Source organism: Homo sapiens, chromosome 5 (assembly GCF_000001405.40).
Source record: "Homo sapiens chromosome 5, GRCh38.p14 Primary Assembly".
Classification (NCBI taxonomy): Eukaryota; Metazoa; Chordata; class Mammalia; order Primates; family Hominidae; genus Homo; species Homo sapiens.
Window position 1 is genome coordinate 64,769,769 of NC_000005.10, and position 27,862 is coordinate 64,797,630.

At 34.3% G+C, this 27,862-nt stretch overlaps 1 protein-coding gene across 5 annotated transcripts in view; it reads left to right on the top strand.

Moving 5' to 3' along the window:
- The window catches only part of CWC27 (CWC27 spliceosome associated cyclophilin), a 249,846-nt gene that overhangs the window by 851 nt on the left and 221,133 nt on the right, over positions 1-27,862 (top strand). For all 5 annotated transcript variants that reach the window (NM_001297644.1, NM_005869.4, NM_001364478.1 and 2 more), the window contains exons 2-7: positions 4,923-5,019; positions 12,153-12,265; positions 14,068-14,211; positions 15,713-15,811; positions 16,756-16,859; positions 19,183-19,252. In NM_001297644.1, coding sequence (NP_001284573.1) covers positions 4,923-5,019; positions 12,153-12,265; positions 14,068-14,211; positions 15,713-15,811; positions 16,756-16,859; positions 19,183-19,252 — 627 coding nt within the window. The remainder of the gene's footprint in view (positions 1-4,922; positions 5,020-12,152; positions 12,266-14,067; positions 14,212-15,712; positions 15,812-16,755; positions 16,860-19,182; positions 19,253-27,862) is intronic.

Here is a 27,862-nt window from a genome sequence, read left to right on the forward strand (position 1 = left end):
GGAAAAGATATCTTTTGAGCTGGTTTTAAAACCTGAGATGACTGTCAGTCAGAGAAAGTGGGAAATGGGGACTATTACCACATTAGAATGGGGAAAGGTTTCTCTGATTGATTTGATGGCTAATGTATGCCAATTCCCATCCAAGATGTTTGTATGCTGTACAAGGCAGAAGAGTCTGTTGTGGAATAAGTGTCACCTGAATTCTTAAATTGAGACCTAGCTTATATCACATATGAAATTTGATGAATCAGCATATTGGAGAAAATGAGATTGGAAGTATATAGTTGAATTAAGATAAGCTAAATTTACACAACATACCATCCTGTTTGTTACATGATTGCATCATAAATAATTTATACAGTCTTTTATTCATTGACATTTGATAATGTAATGAGAGCAATTTAAAAGTGAAACCAAAAATGCTGTAATTCCCAGCAAAAATGTAATGGATATTTTATGGGCAGACCAATTCTTTCAATTCTTTGTTTGAACTTCTCCTGGGCATTGTAGATTAGTATGTCCATCCCACCCCTCACCTATCTTATTTAATATCAATGTGAAAACCCAAAATACCTACCTCCTCCTATTTCCAAATGTTTCTTGAGGGCAATATCACCCCCAGTTAATAAACACTGGTAGAGATTGAATAGATTTACCATCCTGCCAGACAGGGCCTTCACACTTGCTGTTCCTCTGTCTAATCAAGTGTTGACCTTAGCAAAGAGCCCTTTCTTATCTACTTTCTATGAAATAGCAAACTTCAATCATGCCTTGCATCCCAGCAGTCTCTGGCCCCCTTAACCTTTTTAGTTTTTTTCATGGTATTTATTAATTATTTAGTATTACTGTATCCTTCCTCCTACCTTCCCCCTATAGAATGTAAGGAACATAAGGGCAGAGACAAGCATCTGGAACAGTACTTGATACATGATAGAAGGAGTTCAGATAGGTATTGAATAAATGAATGGATGGATGAATTAATACTATATTTTTCTTAGTTTTTGAGAAGTATTAAGCATCAGTGAGTTTGAGGTTATACTGCTGGTCAAGGACAGACTTAATTGCTTTATTCTAAAGCAAGATTTGACATGGTCATATAGATGAAAAGCTTTAACAAGGATACATTCCTGAATAGATTATTCATTCAACAAATAATGATTGAGCAAATCAATTGCCAGGCTCTATGCTAGGTTTTAGGGAGACAATGGAAAGAAAACACAGCATTGACTCAGTTGTCATGAGTTAGTTGAGTGAAGTATACATTGACTGAATAATCATGCAAATAAATGTTTAATTACAAAATGTGATAAATACTATCTTCTGAACAGAAATAGGCTGAATGATAACATAAGGGCCCAAGTTTTCATCCAAAAACAGCTTGGGACTTTTTCCAGCATAAGGCTCATCAAAGATATTAAAGCTTCTAAGTTCTGTAAGGTTAAGAGTGTGGACAAAAATTTGGTCTGTGAAGAATTTGAAGCACATGTAATAAGTCTGTTCAACGAATGTTTATTGCCTTTACTATCTAATGGTACATTAGGTGCTGAAAGCGTACAGAGACATTCAGAGTAAATGGGACAAAATTCCTCCCTTCAAAGAACTTAGTATCAGCTTGGGAAGTAATTGATACATGATACCAGTGCTTGGTCCCTGGTTGTCCATAAATGTTCTGTGTTTTGCTGTAACCCTAGCCCCTGAAGATGAGGCAAAGAAATGTAGTACTTGACAGAAAGTTTTTAAGCATAAGAGGTAATTCCCTGAAGATGAAATTTCCACATATTATGATCACTTATTCTAAATTGTGTCTGGCTTCTTCACTTAGTGTAATGTTGCTTTCAAATGATAGGGGTCTGTCTTCCTGTTGTACACACTTAGTTTTTAAATATCTTGAAAATCAAAATGGCTTTATAAGTATATTTGCATATATGTTTATAAGAAACATGATATTATCAAGGTATTAATTGGGAATTTTAAGAGAAAGAGCCAAGGAGGCCTACAAAGTAGTGATGACCAAAGAGAATGTATGGCCAGAGGAGGAAGGAGCCATATACCTTCTTTATTAATTCAGTAGCTTATTAATGAAAAGATTAAGAAACCCTGGTGAGCAAAGTGGCCCGATTATATATGCATTCTTTTTACTAGGTGTAAGTTGCCTGTGGCCAAAAAACCACGTAATAATGACTATCATTTTTTGAGCACTTATTATTTGTCATTTACTTTTCTAAGCAGTCTATGTATTACAGCTCATTTTGTCCTCACAGAAATCCTAAAAGATATTATTATCCCGTTTTTAGATTAGGAAATTAAGTGACAGAGATGTCAGATAGTGTGCGCAAGGTAACAAAGCTAGTAAATGGAAGGGCCAGTATTTGAATTTGGGCATCCTGATTCCAGAGCCTGTGGAGGGAGGGATGATGTAATTAGTGTGTTCATTAGAGCAGTGGTTTCTAAACCAGTGAGTGCATACTTCAGTGGGTGTGCAAAACCATCCATGAGCTGTGGGGAGAAAATCTATATATATTTGTATTTTTTTCCTTTGTTTAAATTCATTATTTAATATATATAAAAAGATGATGACTGGGTGCAGTGGCTCATGCCTATAATCCCAGCACTTTGGGAGACTATGGCAGATTGCCTGAGGTCAGGAGTTCAAGACCAATCTGGCCAACAGGGTGAAACCCTGTCTCTACTAAAAAAAATGCAAAAAAAGTAGCCGGGCATGATGTTGTGAGCCTGTAATCCCAGCTACTCAGGAGGCTAAGGCAGGGGAATTGCTTGAACCAAGGAAGTGGAGGTTGCAGTGAACTGAGATCACACCACTGCACTCGGGTCTGGGAGACAGTGAGACTCTGTCTCAAAAAAAAAAAAAAAAAAAAAAAAAAAAAAAGTCCAGGCGCAGTGGCTCATGCCTGTAATCCCAGCACTTTGGGAGGCTGAGGCGGGCGGATCATGAGATCAGGAGCTCGAGACCAGCCTGGCCAACATGGTGAAACCCCGTCTCTACTAAAGATACAAAAAATTAGCTGGGTGTGGCGGTGGGTGCCTGTAGTCCCAGCTACTCGGGAGGCTGAGGCAGGAGAATTGCTTGAACCCGGGAAGCAGAGGTTGCAGTGAGCCGAGATCGTGCCGTTGCACTCCAGCCTGCGCAACGGGGTGAGACTCTGTCTCAAAAAAAAAAAAAGGCACTTTTTTGGCATTGTGGTGTAATTTTTCATAACGACTAGCCAAATAGATTTATAGACCATAGTATTTAGATTAACTAAACCAGCCATCACAAATTTCTTATTGAAGATATTATTAATAATATAAACAAGCAAATCATAAGAACATGATAGAGCTGATACCTCAGCATGGGAAGTCTGTCAAAAAAATCAGAAATTATTATGAAGACCATTGGAAATATGGATTTCTATTTATTGTTTTCAATGGTGAACTTTGCCTTAAATATATATTGTGTCTTGAAATATTTACCAGTAAGAGTATAAAGTCATTGTGATTTTCAAGACATTTAAAAACTAGATGTGTAGAACTGAAAGACCCCTATATAATTTGAAAGCAACATTATGCTAAGTAAAAGAAGCCAGACACAAAAGGCCACATATTGTATGATTCTGTTTATATGAAATGTTTAATAGGCAAATCTACACAGACAGAAAGTAGATTAGTGGCTGCCAGAGAGTAGGAGTAGGGGTAAATAGGGAGTGACTGCTAATGAGTACAGGGTTTCTTTTTAGGGTGGTGAAATGTGACTTAGCATTGATGATACTGACCTATGAGAAACAGCCTCATGTTTTTGAACAGTTATATTGCATACTCTTTACTTGAAAGAGCATTCTAAAAGATTGTGATGGTCACAAATTATTGACACTGATCTACTTTGGTATACTAGGGGAGAAAAAAGAAGAAGTAATACTGGAGAAATTGGTTTCCAGCTATGCCACAATGTTCAAATTTAGAGCCTAACATTCTTTTTGGTTATTTGTGGTTATAAATAAGACAGTTATAAACTGTTTCCTGTGGGCCCAGCAGGGAGGGGTTCTAGTTGCAAAGTTTCTGGTTCTACCAAGGAGTATCTGCTGTTATGAGCTGGTGGAAAGGCTATCACGGGATTCTATTTACTATAGAAGGTGATTTTAAGACATAGTATTTTAGTAAATCACAAGCCAGAATTAGATTAAGAATGTTCCTTTGTAAATTAGGAATAGCATGATGTTAAATGAGCAGAGAGAGTAAAAGGTAATTAAAAAGGGTAATTATAAAATTGTCCTATAATGTCACAATTTAATGGGTTCATTATTCTTTAATTTCTTAATTTGCTACACAGTTTTATTGGAATTGATGCAATGGGAAACTCAATTATAACAAATTTGCATTATTGGGGTTTTGTCATGTTTTATTTTATTTTGAGACAGGGTCTTGCTCTGTCATCCAGGCTGGAATATAGTGGCATGATCATAGCTCACTATTACTTCAGATTCCCAGGCTCAAGTGATCCTCTCAACTCGGCCTCCCAAATAGCATGGAACACCACCATGCCTGGCTAATTAAAACAAATTTTCTTAGAGACAGGGTCTGTCTGTGTTGCCGAAGCTGTTCTTGAACTCCTAGCCTCAAGTGAACTCACTTTAGATATTACCGTTTTCTAAATGAATGAAGTTTTTTTCTGTGATTAAAAAAGATATATGCTATTGTTTTCTTAAATCCCAAACTTTTTCTGAAATGGTATTTTGAAAGATCTAAATGTACAATGAGTTGTAGTGAATATTTGACATTTTGTTGAGTATATCAACAAAAGCCAAACACAATTTTTAATATTTCTTTTAAAATTGAAAACTCACTAGTGATTGCTACAAGTCAAATAGTTATTCAACTGATTATTAAGCAAAATAATAATTTAATAAAATGTAATATTCTTTCTACAGGTTTTATTGAAAACTACAGCTGGAGATATTGACATAGAGTTGTGGTCCAAAGAAGCTCCTAAAGCTTGCAGAAATTTTATCCAACTTTGTTTGGAAGGTATGTTGACTTTTATTCTACTGGAGAAATTCTTGTTAATTTAAAAATAAACTGCAGTGTCTGCTTCACAACATTGAAGACTAGTGTTAAATAGTGGTCATGAATGACAGGTGTTGCTATGAGGATATGGTATTGAGCTGGGTGTCCGGAAGTAGAGATAAGAGATAAATGTTATCCCAAATAAATTTGAATACTTTCAACAGAGCAGTTTATCTCAACAAATAATACTGTGATCCTCTTTGGTCTTCTTTGCTATCTTACGCTTCTTCCTTTCATTCTCTAAATTTGGGTATTCCCTAAGATTGCCTCTAGTTCTCTATTGTCATCACTCTCTAGTTGTTACTTCAGTCCAAATGACTACCACATTAAGAACTTCAGTCATTTCTTCTCTTCCTAGTACTAATTTACATATCTAATTGCCTAGTGGACTTTTCAACTGGAGCCTTCCACTGTTAGCTATAACAAAACCAGTGTAAAACCAAATTTACCAATTTCTTCCCCAGTCTGCCTTTCACCTGTATGACTGTAATTGCCTCTTGCCTGCTCCCCTTCCTGTCTTTCATCCTTAATTTCTTTTCTCTCTTCCTTGTTTATATGGTATTTGAATCCTCAGGCAGCTTGGCTTCCTAGCTATCCAACTTTCTAGCTCATTGCACTAACCACATGGTTTTAGTTGGACATTATTTCCTAAGCATTTCCTTTCCGTTTCCACTTTCATACATGTCCTCATACTAGTTCCCCTTCTTTTGGTATGCTTTTTCTTCCCTTTTTTTACTGTTTAAGTCTACCCATTTTTAAATGTCTGTTCAAAATTCTAGTTTCTCCACACAGCCTTCCAGCTAGCATCCAGTGATATTATTATCAATGTCTCTAGTTTTTTTAGATTTGAGTCATAAAGTAACTATTTTTCTTTTTTTAAAATGCTGCAGAATTATACATCCACTGAAGTGTTTTTCCCTGCAGAGTATTCTCTTAGGGAAGTAAACCTTCCATTTTTAGAGCTTTTTGTTGGCTTCTAGAATACATTACATATGGTTTGGAATATCTCCAGCGGTGGCAAATCATTGTTCTTCTAAGTTATATTTGATTTTTAGAGACAGTTTTATTCAAGGTATCAGAAAACAACATTTTGGGTCAGAAGCAAGGTGTGAAAGAGAATCCAGTAGTATGGTATGATGAGATCTCTCTAAATAGACGTAATTATCAGGTGAAGATTTAAGAAATGAAAAATACCCAGATACCACCCCCTCTCCAAAAGAGAGAGGTGGGGAGGAGTGGAGCGAGAGAGAGAGAGAGAGAGAGAGAGAGAGAGAGAGAGAGAGAGAGAGAGAGAGAATGAAAGGACATCTGCAAAGACCATTATTAATAATTGCTGTGGCAGGCAGGAAGGAAATAGAGTCAGGTAGGTAGTTCAGTCAGAGAGGCCTCAAATATCTGTTAACCAAGTTGAGAAACACAGGAGACATGAAAAAGTCAGACTTGTTTCTGGTAAGAAGTTTTGAAGATTCAAAAGCTCAAGTTTTACAGAAGGAGAGTAAAATTACAAAAACATTAGAAAGAATGAATGGTAAATTGCAATCCATGACCAGGTGAATGGAAGAAGCAGAAAACATCTGGATACAATGTGACAGTGAAGAAGAAATGAGGTTCTTAAGTTGGGTGATGATAAAACTCAATTATTACAACAATTATTCCCCTATTTATAATAATGCAAGGAGAAAGAAGAAAGAATAGAAAAATAATTTTAAAAATAACCACAACAATTATCTTAATCAAATTCACCAATCCTCTTAATTGAATAGAGATAGAATTATTATTGGAAAGGCTAACATGAAGCCTAAGAAGACTGATTTAAACAAGGATACTCCTAAATAAGTTAAGTCAAGGTTTCAAAAATATAATCCAGAAAACCCCATTTTAGTTCTTTGCTTCTATGATTTAGACGAGTCATAATGTTTCTAGATCTTGAAACACTCATATTTATTTTTTTAAAGCATGGTTTCCAGAATTTAAAAGCAAATGAATAAAACATGAACAAGTAAGAGCGCAGTCTCAGATATGGCCCTCAACTAAAATGATGTTCATAGCCAAAGGATGGTTTATAGCCTTTAAAAAACCAAAGGATCTACATTATACAGACTTAATCTTAGATTTTTGGTCTTTGCAGCATAGTTAGGTGGACATTTAAAATGAGTGGAACTTTTAAAAACTTATCAATTAAAAAATAGAGCAAAAAAGATATAAAGGAATGAAAGGGAAGCTTATTAGCTTTGATAATTTCATTAGTTCCTCCAGTGTGAGGAAGGAGTATAATTTTATGTTTGTTTTATAGACAAGTGGGGAGCAGAGGGAGAAGTGGATAAGAAAATCAAAATGTTTAATACATTGTGTGACTACTAATCTCTTCACCTTTATTTCACATCATTCTTGTCTCATCATGGTCCACACTTCATTGCTTATCTTTTATTCTTTAATAATAGTTTACTAATTCTTTAGAGTGACAAATATAAGCATAAATATGCTATAAGTTAAAAGAAATTTCTTTACAAAACTAAAATATTTGTTTAAAAAAATACCAGATAGTGCAGACTGGTCGCAAGATGAGTGTTAGATAAAAAGTTATTAATGATAACATTTACATAGTTAAACACAAAACAGGATTCTAGAAGAAGAAACGTATAACTACTTTAAAGTGCAAGTATAAATTCCTCTATGAACTTGGGCAAGAAATATAATTAGTCAAAATATATGATAATGCCCATAGATTATTGTAGCCAGAAATAGAAACCATGTGACAAATACTAGAATGACAGCAATCAAATAGGAACTTTGTTTCATATTTAAGATACATTTAGGTATCTTTTTTCAATAGTGGAGAACATTCAGGAGGATATTATGAACGTGCATAATGAAATAATAAAGCTTTTTCAAAACACTTGTGATGATGCATAAAAATTTAAGAAAATCAAATAAACATTGCAAGCAGCAAAATATACAGTATTATAAACTATAAATACAACTATAAATGCATAGTTCAATAGTGATTACTAATAAATTACAAAGAAGTAGAAATAGTAGATATGGAAGATTTGTGGACATTGGAAATTCCAGCTATGTTAGAATACAAAGTTATAGTGTAGAGAGTATAGAAAATTTTTACTCATTTATATATAGTATAATAATTTCATGCATTCAACAGGAATATAACTAGGAAAATCATAAAGAAAATCTTAAAATAAAAAGCCAGCATCACTGAAATACTTAATGGGAAATAGGAAAAAGAAAGAAAATGGTGAAATTCTAAAATTTGAAAACACAAGTAATAAAGACCTCTTTCATGTCCTTTTTCCGTCACAGGTAACATATATCTGGGTTTTATGGATCTTGCTTCATAAGTAGTTCTTGAATCTGTGTATCTCAAGATAAGCCATAGTTATGTAATGACCTCAGGATAGTAGTTGCTTGCTTGCATTCTCTCACTGGCTCTCTGTCGCATGCACTTGCGCTGTCTCTTGCTTTCTTTCTCTCTCTCTCTCTCACTCCCCCTCTCTCTCCAGTCATGTCTCTTTCTAATATATTCACACTGGGTAAGAGTGACATTTTGAAAATGCAAATCTGATCATGTGCACAGTGCTCAAAAAGTATTGGTTGGCTGCTTATTATGGGTCTAGATGAATATTCATTATATGATATATACTGGGGTATATTTTATATTCAAATTTGAATATGAATTTGTAGCATTTGAGTGAAGATATTAGTTTGACCTCACATTTGTGTTGAACTTGAAAATGTGTAGTTTGCTTTCATATTATTTAATCTTCAGATTGACACTGTGCCTTAATTTATGTTATTAGATTTATGAGAAAATGGAGTTTAAGACTGTATAGCTAGCAAAAGGCAAGACTCAAACTCCTGACTGCTACATACAGTGTTAGTGTAACTGATGAAATGGTTACCTAGGAATATAGGAGAGATACTTTAAGACCTTTTGGTTTTTATAGTATCTATTTGTAACCAGAGGGAATTTGTCTGCACTAGGGAGCTCTTGTAAATGCAGCCCAACTGCCCTGCAATGGGAGAAGGGACTAAGCAAAAATCAGCTGGTCTTCCTTTCTACTTCTTATGTACTGTGTACTAAATACAGTTGTTAGAATACAGATTATAATTTTTAAAATATGCATTGTATATCCAGTTATACTTTGCAAATATAAATAATTATGAGGGTGTCTCCAAGACACTAAAATAGGAACTTTATAAATTATGTCAGTAACTGTATCAGTAAAATGCCTGGCCCACAGTAGATACTTGATAAATATTTTTCATTGAATGAGTTATATTCAGGTTGTATTCAGTTGCAGGTAATAGAAGACCCAACTCAAAATGATTTAAATAATAAAGACATTTATCCTCCTGTATGTCAAGAAATCTGGTGAAATCTTTAGGGAAGCTCAGTGAAATCTTTAGGGAACTGTGCTTTTTCCATCTTTCTGCTTTGTAACCCTCAGCATGTGATTGAATCATGACTGCCTAACTCGATGATTGGCTCAACCACAACCTGCTTTGTTGCTATTTGCTTTTTGTTTGTTTTTACAACAACAAAAATAATAGCTTTTGTTTATTCAGTACTTCATACTACATATGTTTTCCTCTTGTGCTTACCTAATGTAAGTACAGAACTAATTTCAGTGATGTAAAATTTCTTTCCTTCCACCTAACGGATTTTTTGAAAAAACTGTGGTGAAGTTTATATAAAATAGAACTAACCATTTTAAAGTGTACAGTTCAACATCATTTAGTATATTCACTATAATGTGCAGCCGGCACCTCTATGTAGTTCTAAAACACTTTATTACCCCAAAAGAAAACTCTGTATCCATTAACCCAGTCATTCTCTATTCTCCCCTTGATATGGTTTGGCTCTGTGTCCCCACCCAAATCTCACCTTGAATTGTAAACCCCATAATCCCCACATGTCTAGGGCAGGACCAGGTGGAAGTGATTGGATCATAGGGGCATTTTCTCCCTTACTGTTCTTGTGATAATGAGTGAGTCTCATGAGATCTGATGGTTTTATAAGCATCTGGCATTTCCCCTGCTTGCGCTCACTCCATCCTGCTGCCTGAAGAAAGTGCCTGCTTCTCCTTTGCCATCCGCCATGATTGTAAGTTTCCTGAGGCCTCCCCAGCAATGTGGGACTGTCAATTAAACCTCTTTCCTTTATGAATTATCCAGTCTTGGGTATTTCTTCATAGCAGTGTGAGAATGGACTAATATACCCCTCCTCCACCCACAGCCCCCAGCAACCACCAATCTATTTTCCATCTCTGCAGATTTACCTATTCTAGATATTTCTTATAAATGGAGTCAGACAATATGTGACTTTGTGTTTGGGTTCTTTCACTTAGCATGTTTTTGAAGTTCATCCATTTTGTAGCATGTATGAGTATTTCATTCCTTTTTGTGACAGTCATATTCCATCATATGTATATATCACATTTTATTTATCCATTCATCCATTGATAGACATTTGAATTGTTTACACCTGTTGGCTCTTGTGAATAGTGCTGCTATGAACATTTGTGTGTATTTGAGTACTTGTTTTCAACTCTTTTGGATGTATATACAAATATATATATTTTGGATATATATATAAACAATCGATTCTTTTGGATATATATAGAAACAATATATATAAATATATGATGTTTTGTAAAAGCAAATCTGATCATGTGCACAGTGATATATATATTATATATAATTTATATATCAAACAATATATATCAAAATTACTTATAACTATAATTACTTATATATTATATATTATTTATGTGAACTATATATATTTACACTTATAAATTATATATTAATATATAAACATATATATCACTTGTATACACACGCGCACACGCGCGCACACACACACACACACACCGGAATCATAATTGCTGGATTACATGCTAATTCTGTGTTTAACTTTTTACACTATTTTATATTCCCACCAGCAATGTAAAAGGGTTCCAGTTTCATCACATCCTTACCAACACTTATTCTTTTAAGGTTTTTGATGTTAGCCATTCTAGTGGGTGTGAAGTAGTATCTGATTGTGGTTTTGATTTGCATTTCTCTAATGACTAATAATATTGAGCATCTTTTGTTATGCATGTTGGTCATTATTGCTACTTCTTAATGTAAATTCTCTTATTCAGGCAAATTCTAATTCCTGCTTCCCACTCAATTTGTCGCTTATACTTTGCCTCACTGAGATGCCATGCTTCTGCCATTCCCAAGTTAACTTCCTTTTCTTCTATGAAGTATCCTAATGATTTTAGGTTCCAGATAATATATAGTATAGGAGGTCATATACAGTCTCTCCTGTATATTTATGAGTTCTAAATTATATACTCCAATTGTATATTTTTGAATTACATATAAATATTAATAATTTATTTCAATCATTTAGCAAACTGAGCTAATTGGACTCAAGTATGTATTGTGTTATTTGTTTTATTTATTCAAAGTTTCTTGAGGAGGGTGTATTGATGGTTCTAGACCTATAACTAATAAGTAATTTTGATATATTATGAGTTTGTGTGTTAATAAATTAATTTCCTGTGAGGAAAAGAGGAAGCAGTGGGAAATAAGGTATTTATCTTTGCCAGGGTTTCTCAGTCTCCATACAGTTGACATTTTGGGCTGGTAATTCTCTGTTGTGGGAACTGTCTTTTGCAGTATAGGGTGTTTAGCAGTATCCCTGCCCCCTACTCACTGGATGCCAGTAGTATCCCCCATTTGTGATAACCAAAAATATTTTCAGAAATTGACAAATGTCCCCTGGGGCACAATATTGCTTCTCCTCCCTATCAGAACTCTCTAATTTCTGTTTTGAAGACCAGTCCAGAGTTTGAGAGAATCCTAGAAATAAAAACAAGAAGTCAACAGTGATGGTTTCTGTAGAAATGTGTGCTGTTCTGAGAAGTAACTATTTTATAAGAAGGAGGATACAAAAGGTTTTGGCTGGGGAGCGTATTTAACATTCTGGAAAATAAATCTTTTGACTCTAGCTGTATTAATTTTGGTAACTGTAGAGATGATTAATTTTAGACATTGATAAATTATTTTTATTTTTTTTTCAGCTTATTATGACAATACCATTTTTCATAGAGTTGTGCCTGGTTTCATAGTCCAAGGCGGAGATCCTACTGGCACAGGGAGTGGTGGAGAGTCTATCTATGGAGCGCCATTCAAAGTAAGACTGAATTATTATTTTTATTATTATTTTTGTTGTTATTATTATTTCCAAGTCAGTTTGGATTGCTTAATCGAAAATGATTGTGTTCCACAAGAGGAAAAAACGTTTCACATTAGTATATAAACATCAGGCTGGGTGCAGTAGCTCATGCCTGTAATTCCAGCACTTTGGGAAGCCGAGGGGGGCGGATCACTTGAGGTCGGGAGTTTGAGACCAGCCTGGCCAACATGGTGAAACCTCATCTCTACTAAAATTACAAAAATTAGCCAGGCATGGTGGCACACGCCTGTATTCCCAGCTACTCAGGAGGCTGAGGCAGGAGAATTGCCTGAACCTGGGAGGTGGAGGTTGCAGTGAGCGGAGATCGCACCAATGCACTCCAGCCTGGGCGACAGAGCGAGACTCCGTCTCAAATAAATAAATAAATAAATAAATAAATAAATAAATTGTCTGTAAAAGATGCATTAATCAAGAACAGGTCAGTGATTTCTTAACTGCCAACATAGATCTAAGAAGAAAAGGAGTTAATGTCATAGTGAAGATAATAACAACAGCAGGTTCAAGTAAAAGCTAAAAGTTGTGTTTGTTATTAATTTGATGGCACCAATATCATGTTCTTTGAATGAGTAAATATTGGTATCTCTTAAAATATGGGAGTTTTTGAAAAATTCGTTTTTATATTAAGGGAATAGATTGCATTTTCCTTTCATCTTTTAATGAGTCATTGTGTGATTCTTGAAGAAAATACTTGAACTGTTAGCTTTAATTTCCAGATGATAATGGCCTTAGAAATGTGGAATAGTTATTTTAAAAGTCTCAGATGTCACTTTTAGACTATTTTATATTTTACCATGGTAAGACTTCTCATGATTTTAGATACTCCGTCTAGTCGGAAGCATTCTTTTATTCTTTTATTTGGTGTGACAGAATAGCTGTTTTTGACAATTCCTTCCTAATTTGAGATTTTTGCTTCATTATTTTCAGGTAATACAGTTATCTTGTTACATTTTTCAATTAGGTCATTTTGAATACAGTATACAGAGTTATGATCCATTGAGTTCAGATCTCTTGAGAATTATTTATTAAGGAAAAATATCTTCCTTTGTGAAAAGCATTTATGATATAACATGACTACATTTATAAATGAGTTCTGTATCAGGCTGGATGGAAATTCTGTTAACTAAGAGACTAATATATTTGTTAAGTAGCCCTGTCATGGTGAGAAAACCACCTTAGAAAGGCTTGTTCCTGCTCTTTTGAAAACTGGCAAATAGAATCAGTGCCATTTCAGAGAAGATTCAACTTAGGACTTTAAAAAGACATGGTAAAATTACATAACACAATCATAGTAGATTATTTGAATTAAAAAACAAGAACAAAGCAATTGTTTAATGACATTTAGAATGAGATGGGAAGGAGTAATAATTGAATACTCTGCAATGGCTCAAAGGTAGTTTTCTGGGAGAAATAATAGAAGATTTCAAAAGCATAGCTGACTTTGGGATGAGAATAGGGAAATGACTTAGAAATCCATTCCCCCTTGGGTACTCTTCCTTTAGATGTAACTAAGCAGCTTTCTACAAAATAGGGTATATTTCTGTCTGAGTATATTTAGAAGATACAGTCTAGTGAATTCAAGTTTAATAACATTGAAAGAATAGTAAATACTTGAAAATCAATTAAGTAAAATGTCTGCATTTTTTATTAGAAGTTGTATGGGACCTTGCAGGTCAAGTTGAATAACTGCATATGAAGGGTCTTATAACTGAGGACATTCACTAAATCTTTTTACATTTCAGGATGAATTTCATTCACGGTTGCGTTTTAATCGGAGAGGACTGGTTGCCATGGCAAATGCTGGTTCTCATGATAATGGCAGCCAGTTTTTCTTCACACTGGGTCGAGCAGATGAACTTAACAATAAGCATACCATCTTTGGAAAGGTTAGTGTCCAGTGATTTTAAACCTGTGGTTCAGTTTTTGGTTTTATGTTATTCCTTAGACTTCTAAGATACATATGATTAACTTATCTAAGAGCTACCTTTGTAAAAACATTCCATAGGATATGTTTATTATTTTCAAAAATGATGGAATATATTCCTAATATAGTGCACTATGAGGGAGCATCTAAGTTCTTTTTGGATCTTTCAATTCAGTCATTAGTTGTGACTTTAGTGTATTCCTTCTTTAAAATCATAGTAATGGTATGAGCTAAAATGTGCCACTTAGCCAATATTGATTTTACACTTTTGGAAGGACATTTAGGTAATAATATTTAGTAGTTTACAGTTTATTTTCTTAATGATGGATTTTCTTAAGTTTAAAGTGGAATTTGTGTTGACATTGAAACTTCTTACTGTAAATATTACTTTGAATAGTACCTATTTAATCCTGCTCACATTTAATGTCATATTAGGGAACGTCCTTTCTATAGAATTTTTAACAATTCCCTTTAAAAAGGGATTCTGAAGGTTTTCTTCTCTCACTCTTCTCCATTCTCATAAATATGTTTCTATATGTTTTAAGTCTTAGGCATATCGGACATCACTAGTGCATCAGCGCCCTCTGCTGGTTCAGTAAGAATGGTTTCCCCATATACTGGGCAAAACTGGATTTTTGTGGTGATGAAAGGGAAAAAAACAAATTCAGTACAATTGGAAAGCTGGTGTTGTTTTAAAACTCTTGAAAAACACTGAATGAAAGGAATCACACTAAAACTATATGTTGCAATGTTGTTGGTTAATACTTATTAATAACAGTGGGTTAGGAAATATGCATTGGCACATTCTTTTGAGCCACTCCAGCACAGCCTGTCTGATGTTTATAGATTCCCTCCATTTATTCCTTAAAAATAAGAGTGTGTAATAAAATGAGATTTAAGTTGCCATTCTGCATCAGTTTTTACAATTGGGTTATATAACTAACACATCAGAGACAATGTGTAGCATAGTTAGAAGTTAGAAAGGCCATCACTGTTGGTTTTATACCTTCTTTGATCCTCATTTTTCTTATCTGTAGAAGGATAATATTAGTTCCTACTTTTAGGTTGTTTGTGAGGATTAAATGAGATAATGTCTCTAAAGCATTTACCACATTGTTATTGTTATTTGCTTATTTTATCCTATTCCAAAGTTTAAATTTGTTTATGATGTTTGAATGAAAAGTTGTCATTCAGTAGGAGATTATTTGGCATTATATTATTAATAAAAACTTACATTAAATATATATTGGAAATTTCCAAAAAACTTATTGGGGGATTGAACTCCATCCATGCTTTTCTCCTTTAAGATAAAGTTGCTTTATTTGCATTATTAAATGCATATATTTTTATGTAATCACATGAAATTTTCTTTTAATTATTTGAAAGATGTTTTCAAAGGTTTTCTCTTAATTCAAAGGATGAGTGCAATAATTTTCAATTACATTATATTTTTAATTTGATAGGTTACAGGGGATACAGTATATAACATGTTGCGACTGTCAGAAGTAGACATTGATGATGACGAAAGACCACATAATCCACACAAAATAAAAAGCTGTGAGGTAGGAGCATGATTATTACGAGATACAGCACTTACATTGTCGTTTAAGAGGAATTGATTCTTAGTATTTTTAAACTATTGGATTAAGGCTTTATACTATGTTAACATCACAACTCAAATTTTATCTCTAATTTATTTGGGCACCGTTTCTAGTTAAGAATTTTTTTAATTAAAGATTTTAATTCAAAGATGAAACTTTATCTGATAATCCAATGACTGAAAAGCTTACCTCATAATGGAAAGTTAAAGGAATTAGGTTTATTTAGCCCAAAGTAGTGACTTCATAGGTAATTTAAGAGTAATCTGCTGGGCACGGTGGCTCACACCTGTAATCTCAGCACTTTGGGATGCTGAGGTGGGTGGATCATGAGGTCAGGAGATGGAGACCATCCTGACTAACACAGTGAAACCCTGTGTCTACTAAAAATACAAAAAAAATAGCTGGGCATGGTGGCATACGCCTGTAGTCCCAGCTACTCAGGAGGCTGAGGCAGGATAATCACTTGAACCTGGGAGGCAGAGGTTGCAGTGAGCCAAGATCACGCCACTGCACTCCAGCCTGGGCGACAGAGCAAGACTCCATCTCAAAAAAAAAAAAAAAAAAAAAGAATGACCCTTCATTGAGGAAGCAAGAATACTTGATTTGGAATCAAAGCATCTGAGTTGATCTTGTTTACTGTGTATCATTTACATTTTCTTAAATATTTTTCCCTTTTGTAAAATGGGGATAAAATATCCCTTACTTAATAGCACATAGGATTATTGAGAGAATCCAGTGAGGCCGTGTAAGTGGAAGCATGTTGTGTAGTAAATATATATCACTATACTAATAATGTTTATGTGGGGAAAAATATAGACACTATACCACTGGAATTACATACGGGGTTTGATTTTTTGTGAAATGTTAAAAATGGAATAATGTTTTCGAAATATTTTTTTTCATAGGTTTTGTTTAATCCTTTTGATGACATCATTCCAAGGGAAATTAAAAGGCTGAAAAAAGAGAAACCAGAGGAGGAAGTAAAGAAATTGAAACCCAAAGGCACAAAGTAATCATAGTGGAGAGATTTTTCTTCAGCTTGAAAAATGACACTCATTCATTTAGTTTACTATATTTCCTTTTATAGTAATTGTTTACTAGCAAAGGAGAGGCCAGTTTGAACCAGAGAGATATTGGAATTATGAGTGTGTGGTTGTATTAGTTCATTTTTACACTGCTATAAAGACATGCCTGAGACTGAGAGATATTGGAATTATGAGTGTGTGGTTGTATTAGTCCGTTTTCACACTGCTATAAAGATATACCTGAGACAGGGTAATTCATAAAGGAAACAGGTTTAATTGACTCACAATTTCACATGGCTAGGGAGGCCTCAGGAAGCTTCAATCGTGGAGGAAGGCGAAGCAGTCACCTTCTTCACAAGGCAGCAGGGGAGAGAGCGAGTGGGAAGGAGGAACTGTCAAACACTTATAAAACCATCAGATCTTATGAGAACTCACTCAGTATCATGAGAACAGCTTTGGGGACACCACCCTATAATCCAGTCACCTCCCACTAGGGTCCCTCCCATAAAACACATGGGGATTGTGGGAATTACTCGAGATGAGATTTGGGTGGGGACACAGAGCCAAACCATATTAGTGGTTTTGTTTGTTTGTTTGTTTGTTTGTTTTCCTAAATGAGCAACTCTTGTATTCAGGTGCAGTATATCTTAAACTTAAGCTACAAACATGTCATCTCAGTTGTTCACATGAAATCTGTGTTAATAAATAGATACATATTTTATGATCCCTGTAACAATTATTTATATAAATGAGTTGTTGAGAAACTTGTTTGTTGCTTATTTTAAAATTAATATGTGCTCACTCAGTATAAATAGAAAGTAAAGTATAAAGAATATTTTTAATGACTGCATGATTGCATTATGCAATTTAACTTGTATTTAACTTTTTACTCCTTTTATGTTGCTATTAAAAATAATATTATTATAAATATTTTAAAATATAAAGCTGTTTCATTCAGTATTCTGGTTTATTTCCAGAAGATAATTTTCCAAAAAATAGGAATGAAAAAATAAATTTCAGTATTTTGGACAATATTCTACATTATTAATACTGTCTGTATATACTGCAGAGTTAGATTTCAACGTACTCTTTTACTGAATCGTAGGATCCTTATTAGAGATTTTATTGTAAGTATAATTGTTAGATTTGATCAATTCTAGATATAATCCTGCCAAACCTAGTTAATAAAAGGCAAAGTTGATTAAACTTTCTAAGCTTCAGTTACCTCTTCCTATAAAATGGAGATTAGAATAAGTTCAACTCCTGGTTGTTATGAGGATTAAATGAGAAGAGGTATGTTAAAACACCCAGTAGTATAGGCATTCAATACCTATTAGTCTTTTTCCTTGATATCCTACAAATACAAAGTTAAATTGTTTTATAAAGTGTCAGATATGAGCCAGACACTTTAATAAGCAGTTAATTCCTTGTGGCAAAATAACTGCTTATTGGAATTATTTATTTGATTTTTAAAAATTCTTTGATCAGCTTATTTTGATTAATCTATCTCTGGATGAAAGGTCACTGTCACTGTATTCATATGCAGTGCGTCATCACTATGATTTATCTTAACAATAAACTCTAAAGTCTTTTTTTGGTGTGTTTTGCTTTGTTTTTGTTTCCAGCAAATATATTGGGGATGATATGTTGGTCGTTGCTTGCTTCTAGGCTTTGGGAAAAAAAAAAATCTGTTTCACTGCCACATCTTTAATTTTTCTATTTGAGAGACAGTTTTAGTAACTTGTTTATCTTACTTGAGATTACTTTTGTTTGATGAATCAGAGGAGACAAACCTAGTTTTTTCTCCTTGTGGGCTATTTTAGTTGTTCATTGCTCATATTTTTTTGTCTGACAATTTTGTATACATATTAATTTTAAAATATTAAAAAATATTTTGCCAAATACTAGATTAATTGCTTCCCATTTGTAGCACTCAGGGATATATACTTATTATTTTTCAGAAACCCCCATTTTGCTACCAGTTTTGATAAATATAAAAAAGCTTAATTATTTCTGTCATGCTTTACTCAGTAAATTTAATGGTAATGCTCAGAAGGGATTTTTGGTCATTAAAAGTTAGTATAATATAGGAAACATTGGTGCTGTGAGGCAAAAGCTTTAACATCATACTGAAAATACAGATCGTTAGAATACTTCTGCTGAATACTGAGTAATATGGTCTTTTTTAGAACAGTCAGAATGTATTTCTTCTTGTAAATTCTGTTCTCTTGCTCTGAAAATAAGGTATTTATAAGTTTGATTTGACTTTCTCTTTCTTTTTTTTTTTCTTTCTTTTTTTTGGACTAGAAATTTTAGTTTACTTTCATTTGGAGAGGAAGCTGAGGAAGAAGAGGAGGAAGTAAATCGAGTTAGTCAGGTAATCTCTAATTTGCCCTTTGTTCTAACTTACAAAAGAGATTGGGGTCTATATCTTACTCACTATTGTATCTCCTGCTATATCTGGCACAGCATGTTTTACATGGGGCAGGCTCAGTAAGTGTTCATTGAATTTGTAAATTGATTTGTGGTCAGTAATATTTGCAACTTTTGAGATTATCCTATTTATTTTTAATGTTGGCATTTTAAAAAAATCAGTTTGAACTAGACTTGCAGTTTTTTGAATGGTTGGACTTTATGATTCAGATCCTAACTGCTATTTTTTCAGGTAGTATGTTAGATGATAATGATTATTATCATTACTGATATAAACAGTCACAGACCAAAACTCTTATATTCATTTTAATGTTATTTATATATATTTTGTTTATTTCATTAATTCTCATTACAGCCCTTTGAGATGGGTGATATTATTATCATCCTCATTTTACTCATGAATACATTCAGCTATAGTTTATAATTTGCTCAAAGTAACATAACCAATAAGTAGCTACAGATGGGAACTGAACGCAGGTCTTTGTAACTATTAAATCCATGTCCTTGAATTATGCAGTGCCTCCTGGCCTTTTTATTCTGCTAGTCCTTCCTGTAGGCCTTTACATGTGGTTTTCTTCAATATTGCTTGCATCATAATACGCATTACTGAAACACGGTGTCATGCCATTGTTTAGAGCAGTAATTCTGGTGTGTATACTACAAGAAAACTGTCTTCAAGGGTTTCTACTCCTAAAGGTTCTGATATGCCTTTCTTTTTTGAAAATTAGTGAATACTGAGAACTAAAGGATTAGGTTTATAGTCTTTATTGTTGTAATTAAAACTTTATAACCTATAAGCCTTACTTGCTTAACATAATTATCTATTTCTTACCAACTCTAACAATAACATTGAATTAAAAGCATATTATTATTATTCTTGTTTTTACTTCTTTAGCCATATGTTCCCTTATTAGTGAGCACGGTTTTGCAGGCTAATGTTGGACGCCTAGTAAGCACTCTACTTAATACCCCTTGCATTAAAATGTAATTAAAATGGTGTGTATATGAAATATTTTGGTCATAACTTTTTGTTGCTTTTTATTGTATCCTTGAGTGATGTATTTGATGCCATGGATTCAATTTCCATTTACCTGTACACCAACATTCTAAACTCTAGGAGATAAGGCCAAATATTTCTCCTGGGCTCTTATCCCTTGTTCAGAGTTGCTTTAGGAAAGGTCTCTAGATGTCAAAACTAAATTCATTTTTTTACAAAAACTTCATTTCCCAATTCCTTAACGTCACCAATCACTCTGTCACCTCAATATCTGAAGAGTCATCTTCTTTAGATGTCAGTGCACTAGTCTTGCATTGTTTATGATTCAAATTTATGCCTCATCAAAATGATTTACTATGTGTCATGATTCTGTGGTTATGTTTGTGAATGGACAAAACCATGAATGTTAGATCTAGAAATTGCCAGGGTTCCTTTTCATTGATGTTTTCTAAAGATGTCAAGTTTCCTTGCATACCCATACTTTCCTCACAGTTCCCCCACCCCTGTTTTTCCTTTTGCCAGGAGTATGCTCTCTCCTTAAAGTGTTTTTCCTTTAAGATTTAGGTCTACTATCACCTTCTACTACTTCTACCTCCCCCTGCCACTGAACTCCCATCCAGGCTAAGCTAGGTACTTCTTTCCATGATAATCTGTCTATGCCCATCAAAACATTTATCCTACTGCATTACAATAATTTATCTTCTTATCTGCTAACTATACTATTTATTTTATGTAATCCCTATAACAACCATGCAATATAGATATTATTTTTCTTATTTTGTAGAATAAAGAAAGTGAAACTCAGAGAGGGTTAAATAACTCATCCATGATCATGCAATTAAGAGGTGGTAGAATCAGAATTTTGAACTGAGGGTTTTTTTAGCTAGTTAAGTCTCTCATATGATTATGAATGCTGTAGAAGCTGTCTCCTTCAAGCCCAAGACGTCTCAAAGGTTGGTGAGAAATTTCACTGGTAGCGTAGCATTCTGGGGTAGAAGGCAGCTGGGGAAGGCAGTTGGCCCGTTGTCCTTCCCTAAATCCCACAGGGTCCTGGATAGTTAGGTTGAGCAGCCTTGGAGAGCAAGGGCAGGAGAAAGTTTTTCTGTCAGTTTTTTGTTGAAGTTAAATTTCTAGTCTAAAGTAAGTTTTGTTCACAATTGCTTTGAGATAGACTTGACTAGGAAATTAGTTTGAATTTTTTCTATTTGTAACAGCAGCATGTGTTAAATGTTCAAAGATTATCTTCCTTCTGCTGCTTTCTACTGTACAAAATAGAAAAATGGTATGTTTACATTATACTGAATATTGTGAACTTATACTCCAAAAGCAATTTGCGTTTCAGATTGAAATGTACAAGGATAGCAGCACAGATAGTGCTGTCTTTTTTTTTTTCTTTCTTAAACCTGAAAAACACTTTAAATACTTTTAGAAGGACTGAGTAAAATCTTTTCTCTCTGCCAAGAAAATTACAACCCAAATACCGTTCATTATCAAATGAATATTATTATCCTAGTATTGTGTCATCATAGTTTTCTCATCTGGCTCTTTCGTAGGGGGTGCTTTGTAATTAAGTTATCATCAAATGCTTGTATCTGACTCTCACGTCTATATCTCTAGGCTGGTTTACTCTTCTTTTCTCCAGCTGCTTATTGGACATTAGTTTATCAAGCCCTGGGGAAGTCTTAACTCACTATCTTTTTCTTCTCAAACTTCTTATTTTGTGACTTTGTATTCCCTAGTGTCAATATCTTCCAAAGAAGGTCTTTAGATTCCATTGTGATTTTTCATATATTTTTTCATTGCACTGTCCTGGCAATTTTTTATCCAAGATGTATCTCAAATCTGTTTTTTCCTTTTAATTTATTGTTGCTACTACCCTTGTTCAGCCTTCATTATCTCTAGACTGGACTGGTGTGGTAGTCTATAGACCAGTTTCCCATCTCCCCTCTCTTCTTTTCCTTCCACTACCAGAGCAGCCTTCCTGAAGCTTAAAATGTTATTTTTACTGTCTCTTTACTATAGAAATAAGGCCAAATTTCTTGTCCTATTATTTCAAGATTCTGCTTTCATGACTGTCCTTCACCAACTCTGCTCTTTCGACTAGTACTTGTTAAACTTTCCTGGTGATAAAAATCACTTGACATATTTTTTAAAAATTAAGAATCCTAGGCCTTATCTGAGACCCACTAAATTAGAATTTCCAAGCGAGGGGCCTGGGAAGCTGTACTTTTAATGAATTCCAGAGGAATTCATACCAAGGAAATGTAGGAAACACTGCTTTAGCAGATATGAATGATTTGCTGCTCTATATGTATGCCTTATTGTTTCCATTTTTTGTGCCTTTCTTGATGTTCTTTTTCCCACCTGAAATGTCCCATCACACCTCTGGATATCCAAGTCATATTTGTTTTCAACACCTGAAATGCCATCTTTTCTAAATGTCTTTTCCAGCTTTTAAAAATCTTTTTTTTCTTACCCAACCTTTGCCTTTCTTGTAATACTGTACATTTGCCTTTTAAACACATCTTTTTTGCTTTATTACAGAAGAAGCATATGACTGTGTTTGCATTGTACACTAGTCCAAAGTCCAACATTATACCCTTTACTTTATAACTTATTAATTGTGTAGAGTCCTGGGCTGTGAGCTTGTTGTACATAGAGTCTGTGTCATCTTTGAGTGGCAGTGTGCTAGAATAGAAATAACATGGATTTGGGATCATACAAATTCATATTAAAACTTTAATTTCCCCTGACACCCTGTGAGCTTTGATAACTTAGTCTCTCTGAGCCTCAATTTTCCTTTCTGAACAAGAAAATAGTATGTCCCACTTACTGTTGTGAGTAAGGATATAGTTTTAATTTTGATTTATTATACAATACTGAAAAATGTCTTTGAAAGCCAAGTGCCTTAAAATATACTATACATTATAACTGGTATTTTAATCTCAGATAACTAAAGAATGTAAAATTTCTTTAATATGATCATAACCATTATGTAGAATCTTATGCCCTTATGCCCAATCTAGAGGGCTGGTGAGAAATTTCATTATCAGCTCAGCCTTTTTGGGTAGGAAGCCACAATCTTGACACAATTGGCCTAGTGGCCTTCATGAGCACTCCCATTGAGTCCTAGATAGTGGCTTGTGCAGCCCAGCCTCATTATTACCCACCAACAACCCATTCTTCACATGCGATTGGATCTTGGCACACTGCAGAATCAAAAAAGTTAAAATCTACAGAATTTAACTTTTTTGTCTGCTTTATGTAATGGACAAGTAGGTAAGTTTAGTTGGAGAAAATAGAGTAACAAGAACAATACTGTTGAAATTTACTGGCTTAGAGAAAGGGAAATTGTTTTTAAGTACATGAGATAAATTCTGGAGAGAATCCAAGTAGAAGTGTATTTTTGTTTATTTTGCTTATATACAGTTTTTTACACTACCAGCACTGTTCAAATACCTTGGTAAGAAGAGGGAAGACTAGCTTGAATGTTGGAAAACTGTGGCTAATAGAATATATTTCTTCAAAATTTAGCTTTACTATTTTTAAGTGTATGAAATGACTGGAGCCAAAGCCAAATAAGTGTCTGTTCTAATGACTAAGAATAATTTGCAGTTTCAGTGGTTGCATGAAATTAAATATTTCTAAAGGGCTTAAAAATAATTGTTTCATTCTTCATTTGTTTATCAAGTTTCTTTTTTCAGTGACTGCACAGTATTAATCTTTATTCCAGAACCTTTCTGCCCGATCACAAGTTAATAATTGGTAAAGTCTGAATTGAGGCTTTACTTTATGTGAAAGGAGAAATAAGATTAGAGTCCTCTCTGGTTTATGGATTATCAGTGTGGGATTACAGACACCCCTTCACCCCACTCACTTATTCATGACAAGGTGCCTCTCCCACATGGGTTAGCTTTCCTTCATTATTTATTTCAGTATCTTTCTACTACCTGATAAAATCTCTTAGAATCATAGAATTTTATAGCTCAAAGGGATTTTGTCCAACTTCTTTTCTTTATAGATGAGGAAACTGAGCCTCTGGTTAAGTGACTTGCCAGACTGACTTCATTTCCTTTTTGATAGGATTGCATGATAGGGAGATGCCATAATAATCGTATCTTGAGTTCAGAAAAGCAAATTGTGAGACTCTCTCATGATATTCTTGTAGACAACAAGAAGAAATGTGATCTGGGAGATAGTACAGTCAGATAGATTTATAGCTAATTGAATACTTCTGACCAAAGGGTGCTTTGTTGTCAACTCATGCCAATTTGAACTAGTAATTTGAAATGTAATAGGAGTACATGTAAATTCTGTACTTGAGTTCAATAAAATCAGCTGAATAGGTATGACATAATAGCCTGTGAGTCCTAGTTGAATTACTAAGAATAAGATCTCTGGAATAAGGATTTTAACATCCTCTGCATTGTTTAGATCATACTTGCAGCATTTTATCCAGTTGTGAACGTACTTAAGGAAGATCTTGACAAACTAGATGCATCCAGAGGAAGGGAAATGGTGGGGAAGACGGGAATGATGCCAAAAACCACCTAACATAGGGAATGCAATGAGGAACTGGATATAATAATACTTTAGAGAAATAAAACTAAGTGAAAATATGATCCTAGACTTCAAATATTTGAAATATTTTTATCTGGAATATTGCTCCCTTCATATTGCTTTCTTAAACAATGCTTTTATTTGAATGTCTGTATTGGTTTAAAATTTATTCAGGAATCTTTACATGTAACTGAAATATAAATGTCAGGAAATATTTTTCAAGTTAAAGCTTACAATCAAGATAACTAGTTTTTATGAGGTAAGTTAAACAACAGGCCCATTTTAAAAGTATCTCAATAGCTAGATTTTTATTCAGTGATCAAATTGTGCCACATTCACAGTGATACACAGAGCATTTCTTTCCTACAAGACGTAGTAACATTTTTACTTCAAATCCAGAGTTATAGAAGGGCTTTTTCCTCACTCAGAAAAAGTTATCTTGGTAGACCGTTTCGCCACTTTTGAGACTAAAGTAAGGATGTTTTGTCCTATTCTAGTTTATTTTATGAAATTAAACTTTCCCAAAAAAGTTGGGAGGCGGCCATGGCATGGAGAATGCTGCTAGGCTGTTTGCAAAGAGGAGGTCAGAAATGTTAAACAGTGTAATTTGTAAAATGTTTCTGCCTTATCAAATTGTATTCAACTTTAATTTGCTTATCTTTCTAGTTGTTTAGACTTAGCTAATTTTACAAAGGTGTTAACATATTTTATTAATTTCGTATTACTGTTTTAACAAATTGCCATAAACTTAGTGGCATTAAGCCACTTTAAGCAAAACAAATTTAGTGTCTTATATTTCTGGAGGTCAGAAGTCTGCAATAGGTTTCACTGGGCTAAATATCAAGGCATTTGCAGGGACTTCTTTCTGGAGTCTCTGGGGAGAATCTATTCCCTTGCCTTTTTCAACCTCTAGAGACTGCCTGTATTCTTTGGTGTGCCCCTTCTTCTATCTTCAAAGCCAGCAATAACTGGTGAAGTCTTTCCCATGCTGCATTACTCTAAAATTGACTCTATTGCTTCCCTCTTTCACTTGTAAGGACTCTTGTAATTACATTTGGACCCATCTTGATAATCCAGGATAATGTCCCCACCTCAAAATCTTTCATTTATATGCAAAGTCTCTTTTGCCATGTAAGGTGATATGTTCATAGGTTCTGAGGGATTAGGACATGGACATCTTAGGGGGCCATTATTCTGTCTAATGAATGTCTAAACTAACTTTATATAGTATGCCTAACAACAGGCCTTCTTTGTAGTTCTAGAAGGTAGAAGTAGGGTTGGTTGGATGGTTGGAAAATATACATAGATTTTTTTTCTCTCCAATCAGAGAATTTCCTAATAATAGAAGCCATTTAAAAAGAAATTGTGCGTGTGTGTGTGTGTGTGTGTGTGTGTGTGTGTGTGTGTGTATTAATAAGCTCATTTGAGGTGTTGAGACATGGTTGACCAGTCAGCAGTGATGTCAAGGAGATTTCCTGCATTGCCTGGGAGAATAGATTGTGGCCTCTAAAATATCTTTTTTAACTAATAAGTTTTTCTGGTTCTGTGCTGAAGGTCTCTTAGTGTATTAGTTAGGGTTCTACAGAGAAACAGAAGCAGCCAATAGGATGTGAGAGAGAAAGAATAAAATAGATCCATTTATCTATTAATCTGTCACTTTATCTCTTTATTTATAGGAATTGGCTCTTGCAATTGTGGGAGCTGGCAATTCCAAAATATGTAGAGTAGGCCAGCATGCTGGAGACTCAGGGAATAGTTGATAAATTCAAAATACACAGGCTGGAAACTCAGGCAGGGTTTCTTTGTGACAGTCTTGAGGCAGAATTGTTTCTTCCTTGGGAAACCTCAGTTTTTGCTCTTAAGGCCTTCAACTGATTAGATGGGGCCCACCCACATTATGGAGTGTAATCTGCTTTCTCAAAGCCTACTAATTTAAATACTAATCATATCTAAAAAAATATTTTCATAGCAACATCTAGACTGGTGTTTGACTAAACATTTGGGTACCATTGCCTAGCCAAGTTGACTCATAAAATTATCCACACAGAGTTAGAGATTGAGCCCCAGACCTTCCAGTTTCTTGGTCAATGTTGCTCCTGTGTCCCTTCCTCCTCCCTCCCTCCCTCCCTCCCTCCCTCCTTTTCCTTCTTCCTTCCTTCCTTCTTCCCTCCCTCCCTCCCTCCTTTTCCTTCTTCCTTCCTTCCTTCTTCCCTCCCTCCCTCCCTTCTTTCCTCCTTCCTTCCTTCTTTCCTCTCTTTCTGACTCCCTCCCTTCCTTCCTTTCTTCTCTTTCTCTCCCTGTCTCCCCCGTCACTTCCCCCACCCCTTCTCCTCTCTCCCTCTGCCCCCTTCTACCTGTATTCTATTTAGTCCCTACTGTTTTGCTGCCTCTTTGTTCTTGGATATGAAGTTCCAGATAACATAATTTTTCTGTGTCCCTCTGATTTTCATTTTTACATTTGTTTGCAGATAGTTTTGAATTTTCTGTGAAGCCCCTAACACTGAATTCACTAAATATATTTAGTATTTCATTCATCAGCTAAACCTTTTAATTAGTCAACTTATTTTAAGCAATTTTTAAAACATTTAAAAATATATTTGGTGTTTGTTCTTCCTTTAAATTCACTGTTACTTGACGGTATAAATAAGAACCTTAAAGTAGGTCATTAAGAAAGAATAGGCATTAAAGGGAAAAATGTCTGAATTCATTTTCACTCTCTTAAGGATTGTCTCCTAATTTCTTCAGTTCATCTCCAATTTGCTTTCTCTCCCTGCAGGATTCAGAGTCTACTGTAGTGGGAAGAGAGGCCTAACAATTTGGCTTTTCATATATTTCTATACTAATTTAATTTTAAAAGTTAGTTAAAATTTGAAATGGTAATGATTATTAAAATTAAACACAGGTTCCTCCTATTGTCAAGTCTTATTTTAAATTAGTGTAAAACAAGGTTTTTCTTTTTCCTTCCAGCTATTTAAAGTAAGTTTTGGAAGATAAACA